Raw genomic sequence first — 22,698 nt, 5'->3', positions numbered from 1 at the left:
GGATTACAGGCGTGAGCCACCGCGCCCGGCCTCCAAAATGTTTTTAACCCAAATTGCAGAATGATTATAGCAAAGGAATACATAAGTCATTCAATTTGCTTCTCAATGTGTTAAACACAGAGAATTATTTGCTCATTTGGTAAACATTACCTCATCCGCTTCTTCACCTTCTTCATCATAAACATCATCATCAACTTCAATAGCTTCTCCAGTAAAGTATGACACTGCTCTTGGGATTATACGCTCACGTAAAAAGTGACCTATTTTGAAGTCTGTGCAAGGATTTCAGCATCATCATCCAGATCTCCACTCTCAGGAACTTCAGGAGGGGCAAACAAATTAAAGAGTCATTGGAAACTGTGTTAGTCACAGTATGAACTGTCCCACTTCCCTTGTGTTTCTGCTTCTTCTTAATGGTTTTCAAAGTGACATTCTTTCCTTTTTTCCAATCTATCTGGCACCCTGTGCAACCCATAATTTCTGGTCCATCAAAAGAAAAGGGATCAGAATCATCTGGTTCTGACCTCATCCTGTATGTCTTTGACAGCATTTCATTTGTAAAATATTCATTGGGTTCAAAGTGAAATTCTAAGACAAAATTCATAGGCTGGTCAGCATCTGAGAGCTTCACTTTAGTATCTTTCAAGTGTTTCAGAATAGGTTCATCATGTTGTTGAACCATATCACTGAACAAGTCAACATTCTTAGAAACAGTTAACCAAAATTCAGGAATTTCTTTGGGGTCTTCTTTTTCTTCATCCTTTTTCTCATCTTCGATCTTGGCCTTTTCTTTCAACTCCTCTGAAATCTCATCTTCTTTATCTGGTTACCATTCACATTGTTCTTCTGTGGGTTCATAAATTTCATTAATAATCTCAAATCGCTTATCAAATAGAGGCTGATAGAGAACAGCATATTCCTTTCAAGATCGTGAACTTCCTCATAGAATTTGGTTTCTATCTGTGCACATTTAATTTAACTTGCAGGTTTTTGAGAGCATTCACTCGTCTTTTAACTACCCTAGGCAGGCTTTCAGTGTATCCTGTTGGTGTTTCTACCAGAACATCAAGTCTTTCTTGAAGGACTGCAAGAATCTGAGGACTTTGCATTATCTGAACAGTTAGCTGATGTGCTTTGATTTTTGTTTCTTCACCAGTTTCTTCTTCATGTACTTCTTCAACATCATCCAAATCTCGATCAAGTTCAGATTGTCAGTGTCTGCCATGTTATAAGAACTCCAAATATCGGCAGCTAGTATGGGAAGCCAGGAGGCCTGAGCTGCGCAGGCAGTGACTCAGGGCGGCAGTGGCGGCAGGAGGAGCAGGAGGCGGCACTGCGAGCAAATGGTGCTAAAAAAGAACAGATCAGTTTAACTGATCAATTTATTTGAAGTGATATTAATAAAAATACTTCCCATTATTGTAGGGAGACATTAATGTGTAATAATTAAGAGTCCAGCCTCTAGACACAGATTACCTGAGTTTTAATATGAGCTCTGACACTGACTAGCCGTGTGACTATGGTCAAGGCACTTCATGTCTCAGTTTTCTCATTTGTAATTTGGGACTAATGCTTAAAATAATACTTGGTGCACAGAAGGAACTATATAAGCATTAACTATTATTATTATAAATAGCTTTTATTTATGTTAAAAACACTTTTATCCAGTGTTTGCTACTTGCCAATCACTGTATTAAGTGCTTTGTGTGTATCATCTCAATTAATCCTCCTAGCAAACCACTGAAGTAGGTCCTATTAACAACTCTATATGAGGTATTATTACTCTTTACAAATGATGAAGTCATTTACAACTTTACAAATGATGAAATCAAGACTCCAAGAGTTTAAGTTATTTGACCAAGATCAAATAAGGTACAGTCAGAATGTGATACAAGTTTATGGACTCTAGTTACTCTATTATGTTATTCTTGGAGAACCATTTTTGTTTTTGTTTTTGAGATGGCGTCTTGCTCTGTCGCCCAGGCTGGAGTGCAGTGATGGGATCTCGGCTCACTGCAAGCTCCGCCTCCTGGGTTCATGCCATTCTCCTGCCTCAGCCTCCCGAGTAGCTGGGACTGTAGGCACCCACCATCACGCCTGGCTGATTGTTTGTATTTTTAGTACAGACGGGGTTTCACCATGTCAGCCAGGATGGTCTTGATCTCCTGACCTCATGATCTGCCCGCCTCGGCCTCTCAAAGTGCTGGGATTACAGGTGTGAGCCACCGCGCCCGGCCTTGGAGAACCAATTTTAACATGTATTGAGTATTATAAAAGCACCCACTTCAGGCCTGGAATGTATTAAATGTCACTTAGTATCTAACAACCTTCCCACCTCATCCCTGAGGACTTGAGTACTTGGCTCATGGTATTTCATTTATCAGCCTCTCAGTTCCTTCAATATGTCCCCTGACGGCATAAATCATCCACATCGTCCACCAGCACCGGTAAACATACTAGATCTAATCATTACTTGGAACTGTTCTACTTCTGAAATGGTAAACTCTGGTTATTACCAAAGACTTCTTGGTTCTTTCTTACTCAATCCTGTAACAACAGCTCTTTAATGTCATACATATCTCCTTTTCTTTAATTTGTAATTTTTCCAGTCTATTATTCTTCTCAAACCTCTTACACCTTTTCCACTGCCTGGATTCTATGATTGCTGTTTTAAAAATTTTCTTACCAATACCGTGTGTTATTTTCCTTCTTGTACAACTTCCAGAAAAACTTCAAAATTGGGTTGGTGTTATGCTTTTCCCCTTCTACCTGACTGATTAAATTTTGATGGAGAAAACCACATAATCATGCAAGCTCCATCACCATACATTAATGGTCTCCAACCTCAGCCAGGCCCTCAGCATCACTTATCAATTCTCTGAGTGATTTTCTACTTTCATTTTTCAACTCTCATTTTTCCTAATGACTATTCCAAACCTTCACCACCTTCTTCAAGCATCCTTTTCAAGTCCCATACCTTGAGTTCAGTAAACAGCCTTTGCTCCAAATTCATCAAGATAATTGGGGGCTTTAGTTATTGGAGTTTTAGAGATCCATCCTTGGCTACAACTTTCTGGTTCCATATTATTCCTGAGAGATCGCTTCCACTTTAATGGTATAAACACTACTTTATGCTGATGACGTTTAAATCCGTATTTCCACTTGGAGTTCTCTACATAGTGGACATCTGTGGTTGGAGGCCCCATAGTGTCTTAGTCTGTTTCTGCTGCTATAACAAAATGCCTTAGATTGGGTACTCTTTAAGCAACAGAAATTTATTTCTCATAGTTATGGAGGTTGGGAAATCCAAGATCAAGGTGCCTGCAGATTCAGGGTCTGGTAAGTGCCTACTCCTTACAGATGATGACCTCTCTGTGTCCTCCCACGGCAGAAGGGACAGAAGGGGCTAGCTAGCTCCTTGAAGCCCTTTTATAAGGTCATGAATCTTGCTCATGAGGGTGGTCCTCATGACTTAGTCAGCTTCTAAAGTCTCCACCTCTTAATACTATCACCTCTTAATACTATCACCTCTTAATACTATCACCTCTTAATACTATCACCTCTTAATACTATCACCTCTTAATACTATCACCTCTTAATACTATCACCTCTTAATACTATCACCTCTTAATACTATCACCTCTTAATACTATCACCTCTTAATACTATCACCTCTTAATACTATCACCTCTTAATACTATCACCTCTTAATACTATACTCAATACTATACTGACCTTGTGTTCACACAGCTCCCTGTTCATTGCACTGAAGATGTCTCCTTGTACTTACCCACGTGTGTGTCTGTATCACAGTTAGACTGTGAGCTCTTTGAAGCTTGGGACTGCACATTGTTTCTTAATGTTGAACAAATGGATGAATGATTCATTAATGAAAAACTGTTTTACACCTGAAATGATTTCTCTGCTTTACAAAAAAAGGGGGAGAGGAAGTAATTAATATCAACAAACATTGTGATTTTTTTCTTAGTCTGACTATGAGTAACAGTAGGCATAGTGAATTCAAATGGCACTGTGAGATCTGGAGGTGCACAAAGTGCATTATGTCCCAGGAGAAGAACCTGGAATTCTCTGTAGCCACAATAAATTTGCAAGACTTCTATTAACATCCACACAAAACTCTCATTTCAGTTAAATCCTCTATAGAAAGACTTACTTGCCGAATGAAAAATCGTTTACCATAGCTTGTTAATAACATATAGATTCTTGGTCTCCAAAAGTGAACAATAGAACAGTGGAGGACAAACTAGAGTTAAGAGTTTTTTTCTGGCTGGGTGTGGTGGCTCACGCCTGTAATCCCAGCACTTTGGGAGGCCAAGGCGGGAGAATCATCTGAGGTCAGGAGTTCAAGACCAACCTGGCCAACATGGCAAAACCCCGTTTCTACTGAAAATACAAAAATTAGCCGGGTGTGGTGGCACGTGCTGTAATCCCAGCTACTTGGGAGGCTGAGGCAGGAGAATCGCTTGCACTCGGGAGGCGGAGGTTGCAGTGAGCCAAGATCGCACCATTGCACTCCAGCCTGGGCAACAAGAGCACCCCAGCCTGGGCGACAGAGTGAGACTCCGTCTTAAGAAAAAAAATTGTGTTTTTTTTTTCCGTCCTGTACTGACTTTCTTTCCAGGGGCTTTACAAAAACCCTGAATCTAGCTAATGCAGAAAGCTAACCTGCTTGAACAATACCACACTTTCAAAGCATTTCTTTTTAAAATTCACGTAAGAAGGTAAGGGAGGACTGGCATATTTCTCCTGAAGTTCAGTACTGAGTATTTATAAACTTAACTATTATTAGGGATCCTTTTGTAGTTAAGCTAATAGTAAGTAATGATGATGGGGAAAAAAAAGAGCTAACTGCTAATAATAACAATTTATAAAGAAGTTACAGTCCTTGAATGCCCACTGAGTGGCAGGTGCTTTTCACAAAGTATCGTATTTACGCTTCACAGCAACATTTTGAATAGAAATTTATTTTTCCTTTTTCTGTTTGAACAACTGAAGTTCATTGAGTTCAGATAACTTGGGGCAGGTCCAACGGACGAGTTGGAAAGACTCTGGGGCCAAAGGCTCACACCACGCCTCTCCTAGCCCCTGAGTTTTGCTACCTGCTTGCGTTTATGTGCAGGCAGGGCGGGTGGGTGGTGGTGGGGGAATCAGATGAAGCTGCCTAAGGAATTAAACATGGAAAGTGGTGGAAAGGCGAAGGAGGTATAAGCGGTGGGCCGCTGGAACCCTAAGAGAGACCAGGCAAGAACCGGGAGAAGGGATGCACCCGTTGGCGGCTCAGAGAACTTAGGTAGAGGCGAGGGGCGGGGCGGGGCGAGGGGCGGGGCCTGAACGAGGCTAGGGCGGGGCCCGAACGAGGCTAGGGCGGGGCCCGAACGAGGCTAGGGCGGGGCCTCGGGGGACAGAGTCGACCATTTGGAGACCTGCCAGAAGAGCCGTCTCTCCAAGGGAATGAAAGGTGAGGGGAGCGTGAGTGCAGGCATGATGGGAATCTCCGTGACTTGGTAAGGCAACTCACCCTTACCTGTCCTACACCCAAGAAAAGCCTCTTCTATGCTCCCCTGGGGTATCTCTCTTGCAGAGTAGGCAGGTCAATGACGAGGAGAGGGTCCTGCCCAGAGCGTGCCCCCCTCCGTCACTTGGTACGGCCCGTGCCCCCGCCGCTGATCTGGCAGGCTGCGCGCGCACACTCCGGCCGGGTGCGGGCCGGCGGGGCACAGCGGCCTCTACGGCCCGCCTCCGTCAGTCATTCCCCGGTCCCTCCTCCCGCTGCTCGCGTGCTCCGGGCCGGCCCAGCACCCTCCGAGTTACGTGCCCGCGCTCCCCGGCGGGGAGGAGCGCAGCCGCGGGGGCGCGCCCCGGTGACTCCGCCCCTCAGCTCCCCTCCCCTGAGCCCGGGAGCCCGGCTCGCGCGGCTAGGTGCGAGGAGACCCGGGACCCCACGCCCGCCCGCCCTGCCCAGCGCCCCAGCCCCGGCGTGCGAGGCGCCGCTCCCTCCTCTGCCCTGCGCGGTGCATGGAGGGGCCCGTTCGGATCGCAGCCGCCGCCACCGTAGCCGCCGCCGCGCGCGCGCGGGGGGATGACCTGGGGGTGGCTTTCCGAGCCGGCTGCAGCGCAGGAGGTCTGGAGGCTTAGCCAGCCCCGCGGAGAGGTGCGGGGGTGGGGGTCCCGCCGCAGGGTCGGAGGGAGGGGTGGCGCGCGGGCACTGGGCTTGGGGGGCCTTGGCTTAGGGGACGGGAGGTCCCGGGGACGGGCGGGCCGGCGTTCCCTGGAGGGCGTGGGGGTGCAGGGCTGCGTGCGGGGTCTGGATGCTGATGCTTGCCCGGCGGGGAGCCCCGGCGTTCCGCGTCCTCGGGGGCTCGGAGGCACCTCGCGGGAGGAGGCGGGGTGAGGTGTCAGTGACACGACGAAACCTCTTCTTGACGATGGTCCTCGGGGGCAGGTGAGATGCCGCAGAGCGGGGAGCTAGGGCGCCCGCGCGTTTTCCCAAGGGAGCCGGGTCCCTGGCCTCTCTCAATCTCCATCCCTGCAGAGCGCCCGCGAGAGACAGTGATTTATGTGTAGGGAGAAGCAAGAGAAATTTCCTGCACAATGTATCTTTCTCTGCCTTCACAAGACTCACTGACTTCCCAGCCCCAGGGAGTGTATTTTTCCTTCTCCTCTGTAAAGCTTTCTGTGGATTGCATTATCATTTGCTAAATACATTACAGCTCGCTATTTATTTCAGTCGGCAGCTTCCAGACCTTTGTTGCTTTCTCTCCACATCTAGGAATTTCAGCAATAAATCACTGAGGGGGATAGATAGACTCTCTTGCCCTTCCCTTCATTGTTCTCCCTAACCCCACCAAATCAGGTGGAAGGCTCTCCAAAAGGAGCTGTTTCCAGAATGCCTGCCCTTCCTCATCAGGACGACAGAGGGTGGCAGGTGCTTTAAGGGCAGACTGCTTTCCAGTGGGAATCCAGAATTTAGAGAACCTCATCAACAGAAAGTCAGCCTTTGTGTCCCAAACCAGACACCTTGAAAAACAGGAGGTTGGACTAAAAGCTCACATGAGATTTATTTTCAGGCCTATGCCAGTAAAGATGAAAGACGCCAAGTCAGTGAATTCTGATTCCTTTCGGCGCTGATAACATAACCCTCAAATTCCCAACTGACACTTGGCATACCTAGTGGACAGTGTCTCCAAGGAGAGGAAGGTGGGGAGGGTGTTAGAAAATGAAATGAGTTTATTGTCAGCATAATTCTAAACATTCTATGACATTTTGTAGTTCTCCCCCACCCTCAGTCTATTTTTAGCTGAAAATTTGGGGATAGTTCAACTTTTAAGATAAGATGAAAGAAAACCTTCAAAAAATTTTCTGGAAATTTTAAATTAGTGCTTAACTAGAAAGCATTCTTTGGAACCCGAGAAGCACCAAATACTGCAGTCTCTGTTATGCACATGTTGGAATGAACTGCCTCATACTTGAAGTTATATGAGAAGGATGGAGAAAACCTGTTTCATTTTGTAAAGACGTGCCCTGGGTGTGTGTTTGGCAGTGTGTAGAACAGAAACATTTATATTTCTATTAAGAAACACACAAATGTATACTGTTTAACTTTCATGCAAAAACTTCCCAGTGTTTGGGAAATCTGTCTTTGTTTGAATAGTTTAGTCAGCCAGGAGAATCAGTTACTAGAGGTACTGTGCTGTTGTTTGTGTAATAACTCACTTGGGATGCTTTGATTGATTGCCATGGTTCTCATCAGCCTCCTCTTCTGTGCAAAGTACTTAAACAGCTCTGACTCTCAAGCCTTCAAGTACAAAGAACCCTTAGGACTTGGATACTGATCTAGCTTGTGTAGCTTGGCTTCTAAATCTAGCTTACGCCTTGCTTTCTTTGCAGGTGGTTTGACTTTGCAGGAAAAGAATTAAGTTCACTTTAAGATAGGACTTTCTCCTCCAGATCGTCAGGGTATATACAGCTGAAGGCAGTAGGTAGGAATAGGAACTAATGTCCTAGGGCTTTGTTCTAAAGAGAGCAGGTAAAAATTTGTTGACTATTTCTTGGGCTTGCTTCTTATTTTCCCACTTCGCCCATCTGCCTTCATGACTTTGTAGACAATTTCATGTATGGTTTTGTCGAAATGTAAGTTGAAGTAAAATTTTCCTTCTGTAGAATTTTTTTTTTTCCACGAACGTTTAGACTAAAAATTGGTGATTGTTTCGAAGTTAAATACTAGGGAAATGATTTCAGGAATTAAATATTATCGTAGTAAAAATCAGGGAAGCGTTAGAAAATAAATAATGAGTTGAAAAATGTGTTGCTTTAACGTGTAATGATATGAGCCAGCGCCTTGTGATCAGCTATGGCATGATGTAGAAGTATGGGTAAGACAATACAGTGGAGCTGTAGATGAGCTGCGTACATGGTAGCCCCCCTTTAAGTAAATGAACTTAATACAAACTAATTAGATTAGAAACAGAATTTGGAGTATGGTTGCCAAATATTTTGAGTTGAAGGACTTGCTTTTTTACAGTATTTTTTAATGGGGAATTTTTTCAAGAAATTTCGTGAACTTGAATTTGAGAATGTTTTATTTTTACTTAAATTTTTATATTGTATGTAATCATTCCATGTGATAAGTTTTTGTTGTGTATTTGGCACTAACTCACTTTCAACAGCACAGGGGAGGGCTTTACTTGATTCTTTTTTGTTAAAAAGAAGGGATGGTGTATGGAATATTCTTAATGTCACTTGAAAAATATTGGATTACAATTAAATGAAAAACTGGTTTCTTGGTTTTTTTTTTTTTAATCCTTCAAGTTTTCCCTCATTGCTTGTGCTCTTTCCCCCATTGTCAGGCTTAAAACATACAGTATCATTGTCATCTGTCTCCTGAATAATGGTCCTGAGGTGATATTATTAATGTGGCTTTTTAAAATCAAGCTAATTATACTTGCCTAAAAGAGCCACATGTGTGTGATTCTAGCTGCCTGGTGCCTTTTGAGAGCCCTGGAGACAAGCTAGTGAATAGAGCTGAAAATTCATTCTGTATTTGATTAAATGGAACAGACTCGCTGCTCCTTACCCCAGCGGGGGCTATGAGATCTCTTGATCCCCGAAGCGGCTCCAAGACCCTGGGAATTCCATTAGCGAGCACCTGAGGAATTTCTGCCCTGCAGTGCCTTTTTTGTATGTGTGTATGTGTGTGTGTGCAGAGGGAGTGGAGCAGAGCGGGGATTGGGGGGATGCGGGCAGGGGGGGTTGAGGGGGTGGAGGGAAGGCTACATTAGAAGACTCCATATGTTGGCAGATCTAAAATCAAGGCATGACTTAACAGCTTATCTTGTAAGAGAAAAGCCCAACCCAAAGGCAGATTGCTAGTCCGGACTTTATTACAAGCAGGACTACAGTGATGTGTTTTCAGCACTGAAGTGAACTCCAGTGTAAGTACAGAAAGTGGCTTCTCTGCTTTCCCTCCGAAGCACAAGCATATACACGTTGCAGACTTGGTAAGTTTTCTTTGAATGATCTTTTGATAAATATGTAAAATTATCTTACTGTTTGGTCTTGCCTGTAAAGGCTGATGTATCGTTTTAATAACTTTCAAACTGAGAGCAAAATCAGACTTCATGTGAAACAAATGGTTTTGCAGTGATGAAATGCTTGTTTTAATAGGCATATTTTAGTTTACTATTGATAGAATTTGATTGTTTCTGTTACATTATTATTATTATAGAATTCTAATTTAGATTATGTCTTTTCTGTTGTCTTTTTAAGAATTGTATCATTTCTAGTGTTTCTGAGGCATTACTTTGCAGACTTGCTAGCAGCGCCAAGTAAATGAAAATCTATCTGCCAAAAACATTCTGTAAAATCTTTGGAGCAAAATTTTTGAGAAACATTAGTGTGTCTTCCTTCCCAAGTCCCTTTTCCCCTGCCTCAAATAATGTTTGGGCACAAACTTTTTTTCAGAATATTAGCCCAGTTTGTTTCTTGTGTACTTTTCAAGGAAGACCAGTTCTGAATGGTGGATGGTGTAGTTAATTGGTTTTCATCTACCAAGAATGTGAATTCCAATGCTCCTGGTTTTCAGCTAATGCAGAATGCAGTAGCATATTTGATGGTTCATTTGATATATTTTGTTTCCAAGTAAAGTCGTGTTGTAAATAGTGCACAGTCTTTTCCGTCCTACTCCCATGTAGCCCTCTACCAAGTTCTCCTCACAATACAGTGTGTTCAGAAAATAAAGAAGCCTTTTTGAAGATATGTTTAGCTTTTTTCCACCTTAATCCTGGGCATTTCTCCTACTACTATGGCCAGATTGAAAGGACCCTTGAATGAATTGGAGTAAACACTGCAGTTTGTGCCTGTCCGCATTCACAGCTGTTTAGTCGCTTTGCTGTGCGGTATATTTTGATGGCCAGAGAGAATAAAAAAACTAGCCCAAAGAACATTTTGTTCTGCTGTATATCTGTTGGAATGTGAGTAGGGACTCCAGTGCTTAAGAGCCACTGATGTGCCTTTCATCTTACTCGAGAAAAAATATATGGGTTATATTACTGAACTTAGCTTACATATTTTGTTTATGTTTTGTTACTTGGAACTGTGAGGCCAATTTTATTTTTATGTTACCCTAATACAAACAGAGAATTTGGACGCTGACATAGAGCTTGCTTTTCAGCTATTCTTGTTGTAGACCAGCTCACTTCTTGTTATTTATGTGAGCCTGGGCAATGATCTTGACTTAAGCCTTGGGGGTCTTTGTCTGTAAAATGGGTATAATAACAGAAATTATGTCTTACCATTGTTGTGGGATTAAATGAGATAATGAAAGTCAAGCACTTGGCATATAGTAAAACCTCTGTAAATGTTAGCTGCTGTTATTTTTATTAACTCCTCCTGTATATGTAAGTGTACATGTATTTCTCAGAAGCTAGTAATAGTGCGGGCACGTGAAACAATACAGCTTTCTTAAATTTGCAGCTGAAACTTAGAAGGCACTTGGACATTGTGTGTAATTTTTTTCCAGTTGAGGTGTAACATAGTAATATCACAAGTGTACAGCTAATGTATACTAAGTGAACAGCTAGATGAATTGTTACATATGCACATGTCTGTGGTAACCAGTACCCAGATGGAGATATAGAACATTTCCTTGGCCTTAGAAAGCTCCCTGGTGCCCATCCCAGGCAGCCCTCCCTCTTGCTAGCAGGCAGCAGCTATTCTGAAGAGTTGGAATAGATGAGTTTTGCCTGTTCGTGAACTGTATGAACATGGACTCCTACAGTATGTAGTCTTATGTTGGAGTTCTTGCACTGCTCAATAATGAGCATTGTAATAGACATAAGCCTGTGAGATTTATTCATGTTATTGAATAACATTTATTTATGTATACAGTACTAATTCATGCTTTGTAAATTGTTGTAGAGTCTTTTGTGCGGTTTGAAATTCATAATAATTCATTTTATTGGCACATTGGATACACAGTCTTTGGGGGAAAAAAGAAAATAACACTTCTTCCTACATTACTAGAAAATCAGATCCCAATGGCTATCTTAGGAAAACAACCATGACCTCATTTTTATTCACAGAACTGGGTTTATTCACTACTTGAAGGTATAATTACCTTCAGTTACAATTCCATAAACCAAATACTTTGAAAACTGTATTCATTTTTATGTGTGTGTTTTTAGGAGGGAGCCTCAAAATAGGGGAAAAGGACCATCTAAGGTAGCTTATATCCTTCATGCTTAGGACTAAATGCCGTAATCAACACTTAGCGTTGTACAGAAGTAACCACCAGTCCAGCATTAGTATAATATTCTTTGAGTTTAAAATGAAACAGTACAATGCTTTTCTGAAGAAAAAAGAAAAGTCCACCATAAAAGGAAGAAAGTGGAGCTAGGATGTTATACTGCAGGAAGATTTTGAGGAACAGGACCAAGCACTTATATCAGGAAGAAGAGTTTTGGCCACTAACCTATTAACAATTGTGGTCAGGCTATGCCTATACATTCAGAATTTGTTTGTATTGTTGAAATTCTCTAATATGCTAAATAAAATTTATTTCACAGACAGACAAGATGATTCAGTAGATGAAATCAGAAGGGTTTTTGTTTGTTTGTTTTAAATTTTGGAAGGGACTTTGGCTGTGGTTAATAGCTTGTATTTCTGTTATTGGAAATGTTGATTAAGGATTTTGTGGGTGTTCTGCTTGAACACTAGCCATTTTTCTCTCAGGAGACATTGTATTTTTCAACATTTATAATTTTATTAAATCTGACTATTCATAGCTCTTGACACAAGGTCATTCTTCACATACAGCCATATGCAGGATGGGTTCCTCTGGACTGGAGAAGGGCAAATTGTCCCCTTTTCTTCCTAAATCAGACCATCCGTGGTCAGGATTTCATTGGGGGTTGGGAGCGTTGAAATAGTGATACATGATTCATCTTTTGATCTATAGGCGTCCTCAAAGATGCAGATTATGTTTCAGAAGAAAGAAGAACTATCCAACAAATAGAGCTGCCTCATGTGAAGCAGTGCTGTTTGGAAGGGGCATGGACTCCTGATTCCTGGAAGTGTTGTAATGGCATTTGCAAAGGCTGCTGTGGGAAGAATCTCTTTCTTGGGTGCAACATTGAACCAAATAACCTCTAAGGCATTTGTAGGACTGAGGTTCCATGAAATAGGCTTTTATGGTATGCCTAGGCTACATACCCACCACGTACATGATTTTGGAGGTAGGAAATATGTTAAAAGTTACCAACAGCCATTGGATAAATACATTTTTTAAACCAGCTCCAGTTTAAAGTTGGAGATTGCCTCGACTTGCTGGCTCTTTTCACTTTAAATGTAATCCTTAGTTTATCACTAACAAGTAAATGTCGGGTATTCTTTCTTCCTTACTTAAATAGGGACTTTTTCAATATTCTAAGTGTATTGGTATCAGAAATGATAATACTTAAAAGTATAGCATGTACTACCTTTTTATATAGGTACACATCTGAAGCCATTTGTTGGCCCAGTTATTTATTCATTCCTACAACAAATTATATGTAAACATTAATAAATGTCCCTCTTGTCCCTCCTCCACTGCAACTTTTCTAAACTTGAGTTACAAGAGAGATAAATAACTCATATAGGAGGAGAAAGGCCGGTATCAGAGACGTGTCCAAGTATCAAAACCATATTCAAGATCTTTTCTGGGATCCATAGATATTTAACCATGTACACATCTTGTATCTGTAAATATAGTACTTTATGTTAATCACTGATATTTAAAATGATGGAAGGAACTGTGGGATCCTGAACCACCAAAATAATATTTTCTCCATTTTATAAAACAGAAAAGTATATTGAATTTTTACTGTTTTATATTTATGTATGCCCATCCATACCAATTCCATCCTCCCTGTAGCTTAGAAGTGGGCCTTCTTTATCTCTTGTCTGTTACCATTACCTTACCCCTCCATCCTCCTCCTCAAACTTTGGGAGAGGGACAGAGGAGATTCAGCATGTGAGATGAAAAAAATGCCTTTGCAACTCCTGCTTAAACTGCTACTAACTCATCCCCTTGTCTTCAGTTTTGGTTTGCCCCCTTCCAGATCATTGATTTTTCTTACATTTTGCCTGAGTAATGATCTTTCTGAAATGTAAATATGTGATCACGTGACTGCTTTCATTAAAATCCTTTAAAGTCCCTGAATTGCTCACTTGTTGAAGCCCAGGTCTTTAATTGGATGTACAGGGTTATATGCCTACTGGAAGCTTCTGCCATCCCGGCTGCTTTGCCTTCCATGAATATACCATGCTTTCTCGCAGGCTGGAAACGCATCTCTCCTGGCACTGATACGTATCATAATTGCATACGTGTCAGTCTCCCCTTTATTCCTTAAGGACAATGTGATTTTCCCCTATGTACCATTGGCCCACCCACCCCTTTCTTTGCACTCTGCTGAACAAGTACTAAACACTCAGATATCCTGGATGGCATTAACGTGCATTTGAATTTCTGGGTGAGCGAGTGTGTTCAACTGCATATTCTGATTCAGTAGGTCTGGGGTGGGGCCCAATATTCTTCCTTTCTAACAAGTTTCCAGATAATACTGATGAGCTGGGTGGAGCACACTGAGTAGAAAGATGCTGAACCATCTTCTCTAGATCCATGAATGATTTCAACACACGATTTTGCTCGTAAAAATTCAGTGACATCAATGACTCTCAAGTTCAGGGAGTGATACCACAGCTTCAAGTAATGAAGATAAACGAAAGCTTTAGATAAAGAAAAAAACAGTTACATATTGAAGATGCTGGGACATGCATTATCACACTATGACTGGAATCCTTGTCAAATATTTTGAATATTTTAACAATTTTATATATTTAAAATGTATGTAGTAGTTCTGTGCAACATTATTCAGTGCCCAGAGAGCTGATGTCATGTTTTGTCTTTTTGTATTTTGCAGGGGTTCTCCTGGGTATATAGGTACTAAAAAACATATTCAGGATTGTGTCTCTTGCCAGGGAAATTTCTGACAGTTACTGGCTTTTTACAGTATCAGAATAAAAGTAATTAGAATTTTTTATTTTACTGTAGTTTGGTATCTGTTCAGTGAGTAATTGTACACACTGCCTGGTTAGAGGTAAAATTGGCAAGGGGAACGAATGTTTAATGGATAAAATACTGCTTTTATCAGGCCATGAAATTATTGTAGTGACATCAGAACTTGGCAGTCTCTTATTCCAATAAAAAGAAAAATAGCATTGCAAGCTGGGGATAAGACATTTTTCCTGCCCATTTAATTTGGCTTCTTTTCATGATTTTGGCCTTAGGATGTGGGTATGACAAAACAACAACACAGTGAATAACAGGCAGTAACAATTAGGGAGTGAGCGTGGTTTCAGCTGGAATGGACATAGGGTTTATCAGTAACCTCTGTTTCCGTCATTCTCACTGTCCCTCTCCTGTTGGTGACTATGAGAGTATGAGAGTGGGTATGGGGAATCCTCGTTTAGAAAATGGGGTTAAACCTCACCATGTGGCTCGATATGGTATGCAATACATTACATAGCTTGCAATGTATTGAAAACATCTGATACTGGCTCATAAAATGATGATGTGGCTGAATGTCTGAATGTGATTATGTATGTGACAGTACAGTTTTGCAGGAAAGGTGCCATTTATCCCTCTGTGTAAAAACACCAGTCAAATAATATCAGATGACCGATCAGAGCGGTTGGATTTGATTTAGTGTTTCCTCCTTCCCATTTCATCCTATGCACTCTCACTGTGCAATTAGATTTCTAGATGTGGCCATGATATAACGACAGCTCATTATCAGGATTTCGGTTTGGTGTCCTAGCATCCGAGCAGTAGTTCCAGTAAACCCTGGGACTACTAAATCTGGAGGAGGTATTTTTATAGTTCTTAATAGATTACTAAACTCCTGAGTAGGGCCACATTAGAGTCTTAACTGCTATGTTGTACCCATGATTTACCTCCTGGGTGCATCTTACTGTGTGATCGCCTTTTTAAATGGGGTCATTTTATTGTTTCTTCCATTAAATCTTGGATGTTCATCCAAAAGGAAATGGCAGGTTTTCTTCTACAGTAATAAGAATTATAGTGAGGTTCTGCTGAGTTGGTTCTGGTGGGTGAAAGCATATTTTAAACCTAATTGTGAATACAGTCGTCCCTCAATATCCATGGGGGATCCATTCCAGGACATGACACCCCCTATTGCCTGTGGCTATCCAAATTCTTAGATGCTGAAGTTCCCTGTATTTGCATATAACTTATGCAGATCTTCCTGTTTAAATCATCTCTAGATTACTTATAATACCTAACACAATTTAAATGCTATGTAAATAGCTGTTATACAGTATATTTTTAATTTTTAATTTTTTTTTTTTTTTTGAGACGGAGTCTTGTTCTGTTGCCCAGGCTGGAGTGCAGTGGTGTGATCTTGGCTCACTGCAACCTCCGCCTCCCAGGTTCAAGCAATTCTCCTGCCTCAGCCTCCCAAGTAGCTGGGATTACAAGCACCTGCCACCATGCCCGGCTAATTTTTGTAGTTTTAGTAGGGACAGGGTTTCGCCATGTTGGCCAGGCTGGTCTTGAACTCTTGACCTCAAGTGATCCACCCACCTTGTCCTCCCAAAGTGCTGGGATTACAGGCGTGAGCCACCACGCGTGGCCTGTATTATTTTTTATTTTTATTTTCCAAATATTTTTGGTCTGTAGTTGGTTGAATCCCTGGATGAGGAACTGTGGATACCAAGTGTCAAGTGTGTATACCTCTACTTAACATATTTTCAAGTCATATTATAATTTGATTAGAATTGTTCTGATCTCTAAATCAGTAGTTTGATTTCTGTTTATTGAAAATTAGGCATACTTTCTTTTTCATAGTATGAGTCCTTTTTAAGGTTACAATAAAAGTAAATAGATCAGATTTCTACCCTGAGTTCCCAATTCCAAGCTCTAGTCACCATGTTTTAAATTATTTTATATTTTGGTTGGGTTCCTCTCTTAAAAGAAATTGCAGTAATCATGTTTTGACTGTATGTAGGTCTTTTGTATAATTTTCATAATACATTTAGAGCTAAAGTTTTTTTTGTTTTGTTTTGTTTTGTTTTGTTTTGTTTTAATCCCATGGCTAACTAAAGCCAATTTTGAGTCATTATGAGATTGACTGTTAACTGTGGTTTCCTATTAGGCTAGCAAACACAATTGATGTTATGTGTTATTTCTTTTGCGTTTGAGGATGCATTTTAAAAGAGCTATTGTTGGCCAGGTGCGGTGGTTCATGCCTGTAATCCCAGAACTTTGGGAGGCTGAGGCGGGTGGATCACCTGAGGTCAGGAGTTCAAGACCAGCCTGGCCAACATCGTGAAACCCTGTCTCTACTAAAAATACAAAAAATTAGCTGGGCGTGGTGGTGGGTGCCTGTAATCCCAGCTACTCGGGAGGCTGAGGCAGGAGAATCGCTTGAACTCGGGAGGCAGAGGTTGCAGGGAGCCAAGATTGCACCATTGCACTCCAGCCTGAGCAACAAGAGCGAGACTCTGGAAAAAAAAAAAAAAAGAAAAAAAATAGCTATTGTTATAGCGATTAGGTCTTACAATAATTTCGCATTTGTTATTATGACAGCAGGTGCAGTGGGGGTTTTAATTATACAATACAGCTTGTGCAGAGATTTCATATCAATATTTTGTGGTATCAGATAAACGTTAGCTCAGGGTTTGGACTGCATGTATCTTAGTAGTGTTAATAGGAGTCTTGTAGCTAACTCCCAAAGTGGATTTCTAAATGTGAACCTTGGTAAATCCAGGCTAATGCATTCCACCCTCCTTGAAAGTAATATCCAAAATTATCTTAAAGAAAACACTATCTGTGTTTTACTTGTTATTTTAGGGTGTGTCTTCCCAGATAGGTAGATTGTTAGGGAAAAGATAAGGAAGTGATTACCCTTATAAAGTAGAAACTATAACACTTGGCTAGATTCACGTTTCCTTAGCTGTACGTGAATACAGGACACTTAATTCATTGTGATTACAGGTGTCAGCTGGCCATGGAATCAGAGCAGCAGCCACCACATCTCAAATGCTACAGGCCTTTAACAACCAAGAATGAGAAACTGATTTTTGAGTTTTTCATTTGTGCAATTAAGGATTTTTTTTCCTTCATGTTGAAATGTGAGTTTTCTGGAAAAAAAAAAATTTACATCGAGTAGGCGAAGTCCCCATTTGCTTGTAAAGGTTCTTTCTCATTCACTGAGAAATACTAGTGTCTTTTTCCGATTCACCTAGAGTGAATGTATGCTGCATGTGTACTTGGGCAATTTAACAGTAACTAATATGGTGTCAGAGGAGTGAAGTATTGCTTTTTGCAGAGCCAGGTCCTTGTCTGTGTGTGTGCCCTGCAGACTATAAGAATGGAGGCTCCAGGGGATTGGGAAAGAAAAGTCCTGACCCAGGCTGTGCATGGCGTGCACAGACAGGCTTAGGAGGAGCCACGGCACACCCCGTCCTTGGTCCCCTGCTGAGGAGTTTGTATTTCGGCAATTACAAATCTTGTTTTGTGGTTCTTTTTATTCTGTATACAGCATAATTTTCTCCTTTCCTGTTTCTGATAATGATCATTTCTTAAATAACTTTTATAGAGCCCTTTGTATTTTGGAGTATTTTACAGACTTTTTTTTGTTTGTGTGTGTGTGTGTGTGTGTGTGTGTGTGTGTGTGTTTGCTACTTACAGGAAATGTATGAGATTGTAAAATCTTTGTTAGAATGGAAATCATGAAGACTAAATGATCGAGCATTGATATCATATAAAAGTTTTAATCTAGTTCAAAGTTAGGTGTCCTTCAAAATACCTCTTTCGCATGTTGGAGAAAAGTGTTATTTGGAACTTTAGTCTTTCTTTTTAGGTTTATTTTAGGTTATAATTGCACAGTTGTATGTGTTTAGGAATAGATTAAAATAGCTAAATTCTAAGGGTGCTTTTTTTTTGTTTTTTTGCTTTTTTGATCTTTGACATTTCTAAACCACAAGCTCTGCATTCTAGATACTATTGACCTAATGGAAAACATTGAAGCGCATTTTGCCTAAGGTAAAATTGACTCCCTGGTATCTTATATTTTTAAACTCATTCTTCTAAAGTTCTTCTAAAGAAGTCATTTCATTTTCTTTTCCCCTAGCCACTGGGATCCTTGCTTTTTAACGCTTTTCTTTAGAGCAGGCAGAATACTTGGATGCTTAGAAATTCTTTAACGGTACATCCTGGCTGAATATGAAGTATGAAAGCCCTTTCCAATTATATGTAAAGAAGTTAACGAGGAGGATGTTTTAGTTCGTTATTTGTGTCTTGGTTATAGAATGAATACAAAATCTGAATTGGGATGCTCTTTCTCTTATTTTAACTGTTGTTCCATGGTGCCCCTGCACCCAAAATGGGGCCGATTATATTGAAACAAAATTTGTTTTTCAATTTCTTGGATGTGTTACAACATGAATTCAGGCTTTGCAGTTTTAAGTGATTCCTTTAGTATTGCTTTTGTCAGTTGTTAACTATTTCTGTTTTGTTTTATATCACTGTGTAATGCAGGCCAAAACAAATGTTTTGGCATTTAATGATAGCTAATTGGTGTAGATTAAAATAATTATTAACTGTTTAATGGGATAGTTTAAAAATGACTTTGATGACTTCTGATGACCATATTGAGAAGGAAGGAAAGAAAAATAGATGTTCCTCCTCCTCTGTTGAAATGAAGACTGAGTTGTAATAGCAGTGGAGTGCAGCTCCCAGTAAGAGGTGTGAGGCTGTTTATTTTCACTCTGGAGATGTATATACTACAGAAGGAAAACTCTGGCCTTGCTTAACCTAAGCAAGTCATTACTTATCTACGATCTGTCAAGCAATTTGATTAAGGTTGACAGAGCTCATATAATATCAGAACCAGGCCCTCTTAATGATTGATGATGCTTGTCTGTAAGTTTTTCTTTTTTTAATTTGAAAAGAGAAAAATTGAACAAGAAAGACTACTTGTTCAGATCTCTAAATGCCCAGTATAAACTGTCTGTAGTATTTTTATCTATAGTGAGCAATATGCATTAATTTGTATGCTGTTTTTTAGGTTATAATTAAATGGCTTAAAAATAATAATTTTTCAGGTCTGCAGGTTAACTTGGCTTTTAAAGAATTAAATTGGGCTGGGCGCGGTGGCTCACGCCTGTTGGCTCACGCCTGTTGGCTCACGCCTGTAATCCCAGCATTTTGGAAGGCCGAGGTGGGCGGATCACCTGAGATTGGGAGTTTGAGACCAGCCTGACCAACATGGAGAAACTCCGTCTCTACTAAAAATACAAAATTAGCCAGGTGTGGTGGCGCATGCCTGTAATCCCAGCTACTTGGGAGGTTGAGGCAGGAGAATTGCTTGAACCTGGGAGGCATAGGTGGCAGTGAGCTGAGACTGCCACATTGCATTCCAGCCTGGGCAACAAGAGTGAAACTCCATCTCAGAAAAGAAAAAAAAAATAACTAAATTGTTGAAATTTTAGAGAACCTGCTTCATATCTTAGTATCTTTCTTAACATGGTTTTCTTTGATGCTATATATTCTTTATGTAGTAGAATTTTTTAACCTGCAGGAAATTTTCCTCTTCATTCTCTAATGAAATTGAATTATTTGGAAGTCTTTGGCTTTAACTTAAGGGATTTTTGACGCTTTGCCTTCTAACTATAAAATATGATTTGGATGATTGTAATAGCATATCTGGGGTGTTGAACGTTGCTGCTGACCTCTTTGCTCGAGTGTTCCTTATCTCATTCCCATTACCAACAGATTAATACAATGTGTGATGGGAATGTGCCAAGTGTTCTTGGCAACACTGTAAATCATTAGTCTACACTGTTGAGTCCAACTGAAGAAGACCATTTCTTTTCTTTTTTTTTTTTTTGAGACAGAGTCTCACTCTGTTGCACAGGCTGGAGTGCAGTGGTGCGATGTCGGCTCACTGCAAACTCCACCTCCCAGGGCTCAAGCGATTCTCATGCCTCAGCCTCCCAATTAGAGTAGCTGGGACTACAGGTGTGTGCCACCATGCCTGGCTAATTTTTGTATTTTTAGTAAAGACGAGGTTTCTCCATGTTGGCCAGGCTGGTCTTGAACTTCCGACCTCAAGTGATCCACCTGCCTCAGCCTCCCAAAGTGCTGGGATTACAGGCAGGAGCCACCACGACGGCTGAAGACCATTTCTTGATTTTTATCATTTATGTCATTCACGTACTACTCTCTGGAAGTAGATATGGGATTGAAAGACATCCACATCCTTATTTTATATAAACGTAGCATGTAGAATTTGTAGATTAATGAAATGATTGAATTTAGAATGAATTTGTGTTACATAAATGGGAGCTTTAACCTAGGCATTTTTGGGCAGTGTATTATAGCAGTTTAGACTAGGGTAGGTCCTGGAGTCAGAGAGCCTGGAGTCAAAGCCAGGCTCCACCATATTCTAGTGATGTGAGCCCTCTGTGCCTTGATTTCCCCATCTCTATATGGTGGTCCATGGGGCTATGGGATCATCCCATTTAGTCTTTACAGGCAAAATGAGGACACAATAGCTTGGGCTAGTGATTGGCACTTGCTAGGTACTTACTGCATGCGAGCAGTTGCTGTTGCTGTTCTGTTGTTCTGTTTGAGATGGAGTGCTTTTATTGACAAAATGTGATCTTATTGTGGTACAGGTTACTGAGAGACTGTCAAATCAAAATCAAATGAGTAGGATTAAAATTGAAGGAGCTCTTGCCGTGGGAGTAACTAGAATTGATTGTATGTGCTTGGGTTCGTGAGGACATGGCTCCTGGGAAAGAGAGCAGTTAGGGGAGTGCTGTAATAGGTAATGGTGAAAGTTTGGGTAAATTCCTGTATGTTCAAGCAACTGAACACCATCTTGATTTTCTTGCTTTAAATTTTCAATTTTGTTACTCTCCCTTTCCCCCTCCATCTCCTGAAGCTCAATGTAAACATTCTTCAGTTTAATACCAGGTAAATAACACTGATTTTTATAAGAGATGTACTTCATACCTAGCTTTACTAGGCTAGGTATGAAGCAAGGGATAGCTAAAAGCAAGGGGATAGCTATTGTTAGAATTCTTTGCTAACTTTACTGGTAATAGTTTTCTCCCAAAAGTATGAATGTTGTCATCGATGGGAAATCCCATTACTTCCTGGAATTTTCAGATGTATACTTAAATACTGAGCATGATTGTTACATCTGTTCTTTCAGGTTTCCTACTTTTCTTTTGGGCTTACATGTGTTTGGAGCAGATAAACACTTAACTGTGATTGGCAGTATTAAAACCACCAGTAAAGTACCATCCTCAAGGTGCCTCACAGAAAGAAATAGAGTAGAAGTGGGGTCACCAGAGCAGAGATTTGCCTGGAGATAGACCAGTGTGCATACTGTCAGCCCCACCCAGACACTCCCGTTTTGTTTCTAGCTGGCCAGGATAAGTACAGTGGAAGTTGACCTCAAGTGGCCATTGAAGATTGGGATTTAGTAATGGAGGGGGATCCAAAAAACTGGAGCCAGAAGGTGTTGTAGAATCGGAAAATGACAAGGGGGGCCACCGTCGCCCTTTTTCAGCTGGCTCTTGCCTTTCTGTCTTCAGCAGTGACAGTAACAATGCTTCAGAAAGTAGATGCTTGTCTTAAATATTTTTAAAAATATTATTTAGATAAGTCTCGAGAATCTCATTCTTTTCTTTGACCCCACAGATTGGTCTAATTACTGAATTTTTGTCACTGGTCTACAGGTCTTCAGAGCAGCACAGTAATTTTTGTAGCGATATTGAACATGTATGCAGGAGAAAACATTGTACCACAGCTCTAGAAATGCCTGGACTTTACGATACTCTGTGGGTCCCCTAAAATAGAGGATAAGTTTATTGCATTGCATTTATAGAATTTTATGAGGGTAATGGTCTTCATGGCTAGGGTAGCATTTATAAGATTCTTATAACTTTTTTGATTCTAGGGAATGGGAATCTTGTATTTGAAACTACAATTCTTATCCTACCATCCCAATACCATTCTTAGTCCAGATTTGTGAAGATGTGTGATCAAGGAAACAGCTATGTGTTTGGCTAGTTGTAATGCCGTTTCAGTGAATATGTCTTAATTGA

General features: G+C 40.8%; 1 protein-coding gene and 1 pseudogene across 14 annotated transcripts in view, besides 3 other annotated features; one reads left to right on the top strand and one right to left on the bottom strand.

Moving 5' to 3' along the window:
• NAP1L1P1 (nucleosome assembly protein 1 like 1 pseudogene 1) lies at nucleotides 150-1,358 on the bottom strand (annotated as a pseudogene).
• Nucleotides 5,298-5,387: a silencer, noted in NCBI's record as "silent region_4047". NCBI's record gives its function as "represses an Ori minimal core promoter by ATAC-STARR-seq in GM12878 lymphoblastoid cells {active_cell/tissue: GM12878}" and the evidence as "EXISTENCE:reporter gene assay evidence [ECO:0000049][PMID:35858748]".
• CDON (cell adhesion associated, oncogene regulated) overlaps nucleotides 5,416-22,698 on the top strand; it is a 106,515-nt gene continuing 89,232 nt past the window's right edge. For 3 of the 14 annotated variants that reach the window (NM_001378964.1, NM_001441161.1, XM_047427065.1), the window contains exon 1: nucleotides 5,885-6,172. The gene's annotated coding sequence lies outside the window, so the exon portion shown is untranslated. Of the gene's footprint in view, nucleotides 5,526-5,884; nucleotides 6,173-6,309; nucleotides 6,464-9,388; nucleotides 12,753-22,698 lie in introns of those variants that run through there. The other 11 variants (NM_016952.6, NM_001243597.3, NM_001441164.1 and 8 more) reach the window with 8 other exon arrangements.
• Nucleotides 5,458-6,127: a silencer, noted in NCBI's record as "silent region_4046". NCBI's record gives its function as "represses an Ori minimal core promoter by ATAC-STARR-seq in GM12878 lymphoblastoid cells {active_cell/tissue: GM12878}" and the evidence as "EXISTENCE:reporter gene assay evidence [ECO:0000049][PMID:35858748]".
• Nucleotides 8,328-11,591: an enhancer, noted in NCBI's record as "VISTA enhancer hs1641". NCBI's record gives its function as "enhancer in: hindbrain (rhombencephalon)[10/11] | midbrain (mesencephalon)[10/11] | forebrain[10/11] | other[7/11]" and the evidence as "EXISTENCE:transgenic organism evidence [ECO:0001131][PMID:17130149]".

The sequence above is a fragment of the Homo sapiens genome, chromosome 11 (assembly GCF_000001405.40).
Source record: "Homo sapiens chromosome 11, GRCh38.p14 Primary Assembly".
In the NCBI taxonomy this organism is placed as follows: domain Eukaryota; kingdom Metazoa; phylum Chordata; class Mammalia; order Primates; family Hominidae; genus Homo; species Homo sapiens.
The sequence above is the reverse complement of the archived record's forward strand: the minus strand, read 5'-3'. Positions and strand labels throughout refer to the sequence as shown.